Here is an 11,547-nt window from a genome sequence, read left to right as displayed (position 1 = left end):
CTCTGGCCCAGCTTTTCCATCCACCCACACAATGCCACTGGGCTTCTGAACTGGTTCCCTTTCAGGACATCCAGGATGCCAGGGGCATTTCTGACACCCTCTCCTGGTGCGGGGTCTGCCTCACATAAATACTCTACATGGATATAAATGTTAGGGGGTTAATAATTTGACAGTTTTGTCTGGAGCTATATAATTTACAAAAAGTGTTTTCATTTAATCCTAATAACCTGGGGTGGCAGGCAGATTATCATTCCCATCTTATAAATGAGTAAATTGAGGCTCAGAGGAGATGTGCCATGGCTTAGGTCCTGCCGACAGCCAGTGGTTAAGTCAGAACCCGACTCAGGTCAAGAAAGCAGAGACTGCCGGGGGTTGGGAAGGCGGTGAACTCAGAGATAGAAACAGGGTGGGTGGGGGAAGGAGGAGCTGCTGAAGGTGAGGAAAAGGGAAAGGGAAGACAGGAAACCCCCAAGACAAACTTGCATCCTTCTTCATTTTGTTGTGTTAGACGGTTTATCTAACCGTCTCTGTGCAGTCGGTGAAAAGCTATGCACCAAGGTAATGTGGGCTCTTTGAGTGACTACTTTTTCATCTTAGCAAGAATTACTAGCTGCGAATTTTAAAACCTGAAAAAAAAATGTATCCTATTTTTGGAAATCCTTTCCTTTGGTTTTCATTCTAGAAATTTGATGATATGATCATCAATTTCTGTTTATAAATGAATTTGAAGGGACCATGCAAATCCTTCAACTGCACGAACATCTGGCATCCAATGTTGCTTTTCTGGGAAATCTTGGAAGACTCTCTCTTGGAATAGCTGAGTTCTGTTGTTTTTATATTAACATCATCTATAAAATATTCTGCCATAAATGATTAAATATTGGACTGCTTTTCTGCTAATCTTGCTTTTTAAATTTTAAAATAAAAAAGTTCATTTTAAAATAGGATAAAAAATCTATTGTTTTCAGCTAATAAAAGATTCTTGCCCTACTCTTAGCAGTTACAGAACAGTTGTTCTTCTTTGGGACTCTTTTCTTGCTTCTTGCTTTTGCCTTGTGGCTGCCATGTTCAGATCATTCTTCTATAAGTAGGGCCAAGATTATGCTATTTATAATGCATTAACTAGGCCTCTAAGTCACTACATCAGTGGTCCTCAAACTTCTTAGTCTTAGAATCTCATTACACTCTTGAAAATTATCAAGAACTCCAAAGAGCCCTTATGTGGGTTTATGTGGGTTATATCTACCAATATTTACCCATAATAGAAATTAAAACTGAGAGAGTTGTGAAATATTTATTTATAATTCATTTCCAATAGCAGTAATAATGTCAACTGAAATAACATATTTTTAAAAATAAAAGTTACTATACCAAACAAAAAAAATGCATGAGAAGAATGGCATTGTTTTGCACATTTGCAAATGTCTTCTGTCTGGCTTAATGGAAACAGCTGAATTCTCATATCTGTTTTGCATTCAGTCTGTTGCAATATCACACGTCATAAAGCGTCTGGAAAACTCCACTGCAAAAAAGACAAATACCGTCTTAGTATTATTATGAAAATAAATTTTGACCTTGTAAAGCTCCTGAGAAGGTCTTAGGGACCATGATGAGCCTCAAAACTATATACCCTTTGATAATTGCTACATTAAATCATGATAAGGCTCAAAGGAACCTGGAGCTCAAAGGAACTCTCCAGGTTCCCTTAACAGGTTACTGAAGAGAACACTCTAACAGGCAGGATCACACTTAACCCACTGCAAAATGTTGGTTATCTGTGGTAGATTGTCTTGTACTTTTTGTACAATATATAGTCTTTTTGTGACTGTGCCACTGAGTTTTTTTCTGTGATTTTTTTTCCCCCAGAGAGTGCCAGTAGAACTTCCTTAGTTGTGACAATCACAAATGTCTTCAGACCTTGCCAAATGTATTCTAGGAGGCAAAATCATCCCCTATTGAAAAGCACTGGTCTGGCCTTTATAAGTTCAATGATAATATATTATCAGAAGAGCTTAACATTTGGAAGGAAGAACTATAGTGCAGTGATTAAGAAGAACGAATTTACAAGGTGCAGAATATGGTCTGCTCTATGCTATCATCTGGATTAAAAATAGAAAGATTGGCTGGGCACAATGGCTCTGGCCTGTAACCTCAGTGCTTTGGGAGGCTGAGGCAGGAGGGTGACTTGAGACTAGGAGTTTGAGACAAGCCTGGGCAACATAGTGAGACCCTATCTCTACAAAAAATAGAAAAAATTAGCTGGGTGTGGTGGTGCACGCCTGTAGTCCTATCTACTTGGGAGACTGAGGTGGGAGGATCATTTGAGCTCAGGAGGTTAAGGCTGCAGTGAACCATGGTCGCATCACTGCACTCCAGCCTAGGCTAACAGAGTGAGATCTTGTCTCTTAAAAAATAAAATAAGCAAGAGATGATTTATAGACTTTTTAGAAGAATGTATAAAAAACTGATAATAGTGATTCCTTTTGGAGTAAAGACTGAGGAACAGAAAATCTGGAGTGGTTTGCCAGGTGTGGTGGCCCACATGTGTAATTCCAGCACTTTGGGAGGCCGAGGTGGGCAGATCACTTGAATCCAGGTGTTCGAGACCAGCCTGGGCAACATGGTGAAACCCCGTCTCTACTAAAAATACAAAAATTAGCCAGGCATGGTCGCACATGCCTGTAGTCCCAGCTACTCAGGAGGCTGAGGCGGGAGGATCGGTTGGGCCCAGGAAGTCAAGATTGTGCCACTACACTCCAGCCTGGGTGACAAAGTAAGACCCTGTGTCAAAAAAAAAAAAAAAAAATCTGGGGTGGGGGTGGGGTGGGAAAGAATGGTTATCATTCATTTATAGTTCATTATTTTTTAATGAGGCGCATGTATTTTGTTTCTCAATTAAAATACATAGTAAATTAATAACAAGAAAAAAGAATAAAGCCATAAGAATCAGAAAGATTTAGGTGAGAACCTTAGCCTGCCACTTACTAGCTACACAATCTTTGTCTAATTACTTGACCTCTTTCATCCCTGGGTTTTTCACCTATAAGATGAAATTATTGATAGTACCTACCTCACAAGATTAGTATCAGTATTAAATAGTGTCAGTATTAAATCAGGTTTTGATTTTGTGTGTATTCTTATAGTGAATGCATCATTCACTTCCTCCTTAACCTAATATCCATATGATTATTTGCTGCCTGCTTTCCGTCCCATTGTTCAGGTTTGATCCTTGTGGTCATCTCAGAGGTATTTGTCTCAGCTTCAACTGAGAAAATAGAATAATATATTGTTCCTGGCCCACAGAAGCATATGTTTTACTTATTGTTATTGCTAATTATAATTATCATTACTTTATAAATCAAAGGCTTATTTTGAAAGTCAATAATAATTTTTAAATTTTCCTTTTAGTAGGTGATTATGAATGTTCATTAGAATATTCAATTAAAGTCATGATCTGCTTGTTGAAGGTCATTCAAAAAGTCTAGACTACTCTACCAGTTTTTGACTGCATTTTCTGTTCACTCTGATGATAGTTTTTGCAATTGCTTTTGATGTTTTTGTCATGAAATCTTTGCCTGTGCCTATGTCCTGAATGGTATTGACTAGATTTTCTTCTAGGGTTTTTACAGTTTTGGGTTTTACATTTAAGTCTTTAATCCATCTTGAGTTAATTTTTGTATAAGGTGTAAGGAAAGGGTCCAGTTTCAATTTTCTGCATATGGCTAGTCAGTTTCCCAGTACCATTTATTAAATAAGGGATCCTTTCCCCATTGCTTGTTTTTGTCAGGTTTGTCGAAGATCAGATGGTTGTAGACATGTGGTCTTATTTCTGAGATCTCTATTCTGTTCCATTGGTCTATGTGTCTGACTATGTCTTCTTATTTTTCTGCCTAATGTTGTTTGTGCTAGACTTCCATAATCACACTTCTCCACCTTGCACCTGTCCACGGTGAACCTTAACATCGGCTACGGCTCCTAAATCTGTGGTTCCTTTGCCATTGAGACAGGATCCCTAGCTCAAGGTCAGCCAGTTTGAATTGGCCATGTGCCCTATCTTTTTGTGCTTGATCCATCTGCCCTGTCATTCCTATACTGGATTCGGAATCATCTGTTTTTATGAAACTTCTTATCTCTTGATTCTTCTGCTCAGCTGGGATAATGGTGTAAGTTCCGATCCCCCTGGTTTTGATTTTGTATGTATTCTTGTACTGAATGCATCACTCACTTCCTCTTTAACCTAATATCCATATGATTATTTGCTCCCTGCTTTCCGTCCCATTGTTCAGGTTTGATCCTTGTGGTCATCTCAGAGGCATTCGTCTCAGCTTCCACTGTTTATTCTTGGTGCCTAACAAATCTAAAAACTCTTATGTCAATAATGTATAGGTTTATATAAGAAGCCACTGATGGCTGGGTGCGGTGGCTCACGCCTGTAATCCCAGCACTTTAGGTAACCAAAGTGGGAAGATCACCTGAGGTCAGTTTTAAGACTAGCCTGGCCAACATGGTGAAACCCTGTCTCTACTAAAAATACAAAAATTAACCAGGTGTGGTGGCAGGCATCTGTAATCCCAGCTACATGAGAGGCTGAAGCAGGAGAATCACTTGAACCCCGGAGGTGGAGTATGCCATAAGACGAGATCGCACCACTGCACTCCAGCCTGGGCGACAGAGTGAGACTCTGTCTCAGAAAAAAAAAGAAAAAGAAAGAAAGCCATCGATGAACAATGGAGAACATAGAAACATCAGTCTCTGATATATGTGAAATGCGTAGTGTACTCTAGCAAAAATGGGTCTGGTTAAGGCAGTGTTATATAAAGGTGCTGTTAATTAGATTTTTCCAGGATCTTGATAGCAATTGTCATGAGTTCTCCTAGTACAGATATCAGTGTAAAATAATGGCTATGACATTATTCAGAAGAAGAAAGGATTTGTTGAGTATGGAATGAGAAATAAGTGTACTTTTCTATAGACCTGCAGTAAACACATTCTAGTGGGTTTACAGTGGTTCAGATATCAACCTTCAAGTCCTTTTCAATAAGGCACTGATGATAAAACTAACGAGTACAGTTTAAAAAATAGCCTCTATTTTAGTCTAGTTCAGTTTAACCTGGGCACTATTGACGTTTTCAATGGCTAATTCTACGTTGCTGAGAGTTTGTCTTGTTTATTGTAGGATAGTTAGCAGCGTCTCTGGCCTCTATCTGCTAGATACCAATAGCGCTCCCTTAGCTTTGACAATCACAAATGTCTCCAGACTTTGCCAGATGTTTTCTTGGGGGTAAATCCCCCCTAGTAAGAACTACTGGTCTAATCTTTACACATTTATTACAGTGTAGCCTAACTTTTGATTTATTTGTGAAATGGCTATAAGGACATTGCACTTAATTTTATTTAATTTTTTCATTTTTATGAAAATACTTTATTACTGTAACTTGTTTTCATTCTTTCATTTTTTCACCTTTACCAGAATATGAACTTGTCATATTTGCTATATATTCTTGTGTAGTTGTTTTATTGCTATTAGTTGTTAATGTTAATCATTATCCATTGTTCCCAGTAGACTTTTTTTTTTTTTTTTTTTTTTTTGAGACAGAGTCTTACTCTGTCACCCAGGATGGAGTGTAGTGGTGTGATCTCAGCTCACTGCAACCTCCGCCTCCCGGGTTCAAGTAATTCTTCTGCCTCAGCCTCTCGAATAGTTGGGATTACAGGCACCTGCCACCACACCTGGCTAATTTTTGTATGTTTTGTAGAGACGAGCTTTCGCCATTTTGGCCAGGCTGGTCTCAAACTCCTGACCTCAGGTGATCCGTTTGCCTCGGCCTCCCAAAGTGCTGGGATTACAGGTGTGAGCCACTGTGCCTGGCCATTCCTCAGTAGATTCTAAGTCCCATGAAGGAAAAAAACTTTTTCCAGACCAGTGTATCTCTTTGTCTATATTAGTGGCTGCCAACTGGTGGGTGTTTAATGGATATTTGTAAAGAGAGTAAAAGAATTAATTTTTATGCTTGGATCAAGAGGCAATCAATATGTTATTGTTTACGGAAAACTGGAATAAGAGTCAGGTCTGGATTCAAGTGTTGGCTGTACTGTGAGGACTTTGGCAAATCTTTTTACTTCACTGGCTCTTTTTGTTTGTTTTTGTGTTTGAGACAGGGTCTTGCTCTGTCACCCAGGCTGGAGTGCAGTGGTGCAGTCATGGCTCATTGCAGCCTTGATCTCCTGGGCTCAAGTGATCCTCCCACCTCAGCCTCCTGAGTAGCTGGGACTACAGGCCTGCATCACCACGCCCAGCTAATTTTTCAGAAATTTTTATAAAGGTGGGGTCTCACTATATTGCCCAGATTGGTCTCAAACTACTAGGCTCAAGCTGTCCTCCTGCTTTGGCCTCCTAAAGTGCTGGGATTACAGGTGTGAGCCACTGGCCAGCTTCACTGGCTCTTGATCCTCTCATAGGAAAAATGATGACCCATGAAAGGTACCGTCTTAGTTTCCTGGGCCTGCTGTAACAAAGTACCAAAGTACTGGGTGGCTTAAGACAGGAGTGTACTGTCTCACAGTTCTGGAGGCTGGAAGTTTGAAATCAAAGTGTCTGCAGGGTCATGCTCTCTCTGAAGCCTGCAGGGGAGAATTGTTCCTGGCCTCTTCCGGCTCCAGGTGTTCCTTGGAGTTCCAGCAATCCTTGGAGTTCCTTAGTTGCAGATGAGTCACTCCAATTGCTGCTTCCAATATCGCGTGGCCATCTTCCCCGTGTGTGTCTGTCTCCTTGTCTAAGGATGCCAGTCATATTGGATTGGGGTCCACCCTACTTATCTCATTTTAGTTCGATTACATCTGCAAATCTGTTCCCAAATAAGGTCACATTCACAGATACTGGGGTTTAGGACTTCAACGTATCTTTTGGGGGGACACAATTCAACCCATAACAGCTCTCATTCAGCCCCCCCCTTTTTTTTTTGAGATGGATTCTCGCTCTGTCGCCAGGCTGGAGTGCAATGATGCAATCTCGGCTCATTGCAAGCTCCACCTCCCGGGTTCATGCCATTCTCCTGCCTCAGCTTCCCGAGTAGCTGGGACTACAGGCACCCGCCACCACGCTTGGCCAGTTTTTTGTATTTTTAGTAGAGACGGGGTTTCACCATGTTAACCAGGATGGTCTCGATCTCCTGACCTCATGATCCGCCCGCCTCGGCCTCCCAAAGTGCTGGGACTACAGGCGCCCGCCACCACGCCCAGCTAATTATTTTGTATTTTTAGTAGAGATGAGGTTTCACCATGTTAGCCAGGATGGTCTCGATCTCCTGACCTCGTGATCCGCCCACCTTGGCCTCCCAAAGTGCTGGGACTACAGGCGCCCGCCACCGCGCCTGGCTAATGTTTTTGTATCTTTAGTAGAGATGGGGTTTCACCGTGTTAGCCAGGATGGTCTCGATCTCCTGACCTCGTGATTCCCCTGCCTTGGCCTCCCAAAGTGCTAGGATTACAGGCGTGAGCCACCGCGCCAGGCCTCATTCAGCCTTTGACTGTTTGAATATTGCTATTATGATTTTCTGTCTTTGCTCATTGTTCTTATGTTATAGACCATCTTCAATGTGGAGAACAGAATGATAGTTTAAATCTAGTTTAGTATTTAGGTTCCTGTGAAATGAACAGCTCAAATCTAATGGTGCTGGGGGAATGTCTGGAGACTGACTTTGTTGAACTGTCACCTACACTTCAACACTGCGTAGGCCACATTGCTTTGCCTCTGTATATGGCCAACACCAAACCATGACCATCCATAAAACTTCTTCTGACAGTGATTCTGGCCAGTGGCAAAATCTATGTTTGTTGCCTGACTGTACTACAGTCTGCAATACGTTCACTTAAACATTAATTACAAAAGAATATTGCAATGGTTAATTTTATGTGTCAATTTGACTGAGTAACAAGGTCCTAGATATTGGTTAAACATTATTTCTGGGTGTGTCTGTGAGAGTATTTCTGGATGAAATTGGTGTTTGAATCTGCAGACTGAGTAAAGCAGATTGCCCTCCAACCCCCACCCTGCAGTGTGGATGGGCCTCATCCAATTGGTTGAAGGCCTGAATAGTATAAAAGGCAGGGTAAGGAAGAATGTGCTCTCACTGCCTGACTGCCTGGGTTAGAACATTGGTCTTTTCCCCCTCTCAGATTGGAACTTACACCATCAGTGTTCCTGGTTGTCAGGCCTTTGGACTCAGACTGGAACTATACCACTGGCTTTCTTGGGTGTCCAGCTTGCCAGCTGCAGAGATTAGACTATTCAGCTTTGATACGGTTTGGATGTGTCCCCACCCAAATATCTTGAATTGTGGTTGCCATAATCCCCATGTGTCATAGGAGGGCCCTGGCGGAAGGCAGTTGCATCATGGGGGAATTACCTCATTGCTGTTCTTCTGATAGTGCATGAGTTCTCATGAGATCTGACGGTTTTTTAAGGGGCTTCTCCCTTTTGGTTGGTACTTCTCCTTGCTGCCACCATGTGAAGAAGGACCTGTTTGCTTTCCCTTCTGCCATGATTGTAAGTTTCCTGAGGCCTCCCCAGCCATGATGAACTGTGAGTCAATTAAACCTCTCTCCTTTATAAATTACTCAGTCTCGAGTATGTCTTTATTAGCAGAGTGAGAATGGACTAATACAAGCCTTCATCACACAAGTTAATCCTTATAGTAAATTTCTCTCTCTCTCTCTACACATATATACACACAGACACACACACACATACAAATTATATACAGATGTAAAAATATTATCTCCTATTCATTCTGTTTCTCTGCAGAACCCAGACCAATACAAGTACATATGTAATATTATCTGACCCAGTTAAGACTTGTAAAGCTAAAGTTGGACATATTCTTGTCAATAGTGAGTTATCGTAGTGTTGAAGAGGTCAAGCTTTGTAAAAAGATTGCCTAGACTTTAATTCCATTTCCATCATTTACTGTGTAGCTGTGGGCAAAGCACTTAACTGCAGTAAACCCACCTGTAAAATAGAGATAAAAATACCTACATCAAATAATTGCTTTGAGGACTAAATGGCATAGACACAATGTCAAAAGGACTTGGCAAGCCAGTCTGAAGCTCTCACTGGCCAAAGATGGGAACATTTGAACTTCTATAAGAATAAGAATTTCAATGGATTGAAACCTATCAAATATGTTTAAAACCATGACTTTGAAAATGGATACAATAAAAATAAAAAGTAAGAAACCTTAAAGACCCAACTTATTATCATGAAAACTTTATAAGGGGGAACATCAAGCACTTGTCCTGCTTTTCCCGTGTGAACCACAGCACTGGTAACCAAATAGACGAGAGGAAGAATCATCTTATAAAATTATTCCATTGCATAAATAAAAGCAAAGTAGTAGAATTAGAACATTACTAGTATGCAAGCCTAATTAATGGATAAATCTAGGCATTGAGCACCAGTAGCTGCTACCATAAAAAAAAAAAAAAGTGAAAACCAGATATTGCTGCTGATAGGAAACCAATACACACTTACAGATTTCCAAAGAGCTCTTCTCTTACCTGCCTCTGAGGTTTCCTGGGGCTGCCATGACAAAGTACCACAAGCTGGGCTGCTTAAACCACGGAAGTTTACTGTTGCACTGTTCTGGAGGTGGAAGTCCAAACCAAGATACCAGCAGGGTTGGTTCCTTCTGAGTGCTGTGAGAACTTCCTCCTTGGCTTGTAGATGGCCATCTTCTCTCATGTCTCTTCACACAATCTTCCCACACCTGTCTCCATGTCCAGTTTCTCCTTTTTATGAGGACACTGTGGTCATATTGGATTAGGGCCCACCCTAATGAGCTCATTTTAACTTTCTTTTCTTTTCTTTTTTTTTTTTTTTGAGACAGGATCTCACTCTCTCACCCAGGTTGGAGTGCAGTGGTTCAATCACAGCTCACTGCAGCCTTGACCTCCTGGGCTCAAGTGAGCCTCCTGCCTCAGCCTCACCACAGGTGTGCATCACCACGCCTGGCTAAAATTTTTTGTATTTTTTTGTAGAGACAGAGTTGCAATGTCATCCAGGCTGGTCTCGAACTCCTAGGCTCAAGTGATCCACCTACCTTGGCCTCCCAAAGTGCTGGGATTACAGACATGAGTCACAGTGCCCCAGATTAATTTTTTTTTTTTTTTTTTTGAGACAAGGTCTTGCTTTCTCACCCAGGCTGGAGTGCAGTGGTATGATCACAGCTCACTGCAGTCTCTAACTCCCTGGGCTCAAGTTAGCCTCCCGCCTCAGCCTCCTGAGTAGCTGGAACCACAGGTGAGCACCACCATGCCCAGCTAATTTATTTTTTATTTTTTGTAGAGTTGGAGTCTTGCTATGTTGCCCAAGGTGGTCTTGAATTCCCGGGCTCAAGTGATCCTTCTGCCTTGGCCTCCCAAAGTATTAGGATTGCAGGCATGAGCCACCATGCCCAGTCTCATTTTAACTTGATTATGTCTGTAAAGACCCTATTTCCAAATGAGGTCATATTCTGAGCTACTAGGGGTTGGACTCCAGTGTATTTTCTGCTGGGGGACAAAATTCAGCCCTTAACAGGAAGGAATTTTGGGATTCCAGCTCCTTGAAGCATGGCCTAGAAGGGGTTACATGGGATCCAGGTGGTCACGTCCTCTTAGCTCCCCTGTAGGGAGGGCCATGGCAGAGGAAGGCCATGGGCACCTTCAACTAGTGTGCCTCTGAATAAGGCATTCTGTAATGTAGCATCTATAATTATAAACTGTAGCAAACTCTGCCCCATCCTTTCCTCTCAGCCCTCACCATCTCAGAGCAAGCTGGCTCTATGACCTACTGCTAACGGCTACAACTCTTTGCCTGAGGGCTTTCTCTGGCCAAAACAGTTGCTCTAATTCAGGAAATTAACAATTCCTTGGAAGCAACTCTCAATCAAAGACTGCAGGGAATTGATGTATAAATACCCCAGCTTCCTCACTCCTTGAGAAGGATTATTCTGAGGAAAGGCAAACACGTGGACCAGTATCAAAGGCTTTCCCCTGTCATTTTAAAATTTCATTAGAAGATATTTGTTTAATGTGAGAAAAATTAATGAGTTGTTATATGTATAAACTCAATATTAATTTTATGTGTGTGTATATATACACATATATCCAATGTATGTGTATATATACACATATATCCATATGTATGTGTATATATACACACACATGTATACATACACATACACACGTATATATACACATACACACATGTATATATACACATATATATACACACATATATGTATATATACACATGTGTATACACACATATGTATATATACACATGTGTATATATACACATATATCTATATGTATGTGTATATATACACATGTGTATATATACACATATATCTATATGTATATATATGTATATATACACATACATATATCTATATGTATATATACACATACATATATCTATATGTATATATACACATACATATATCTATATGTATATATACACATATACACATATATCTATGTATGTGTGTATATACACATATATCTATA

At 40.8% G+C, this 11,547-nt stretch overlaps 1 annotated feature.

Moving 5' to 3' along the window:
* Positions 10,620-11,148: an enhancer, noted in NCBI's record as "NANOG hESC enhancer chr6:154846819-154847347 (GRCh37/hg19 assembly coordinates)". NCBI's record gives its function as "activates a minimal SCP1, AML or CMV promoter by ChIP-STARR-seq in naive H9 embryonic stem cells {active_cell/tissue: H9 hESC(naive)}" and the evidence as "EXISTENCE:reporter gene assay evidence [ECO:0000049][PMID:30033119]".

This window comes from Homo sapiens, chromosome 6, assembly GCF_000001405.40.
Source record: "Homo sapiens chromosome 6, GRCh38.p14 Primary Assembly".
NCBI lineage: Eukaryota > Metazoa > Chordata > Mammalia > Primates > Hominidae > Homo > Homo sapiens.
This window is presented reverse-complemented; position numbering and strand designations above follow the sequence as displayed.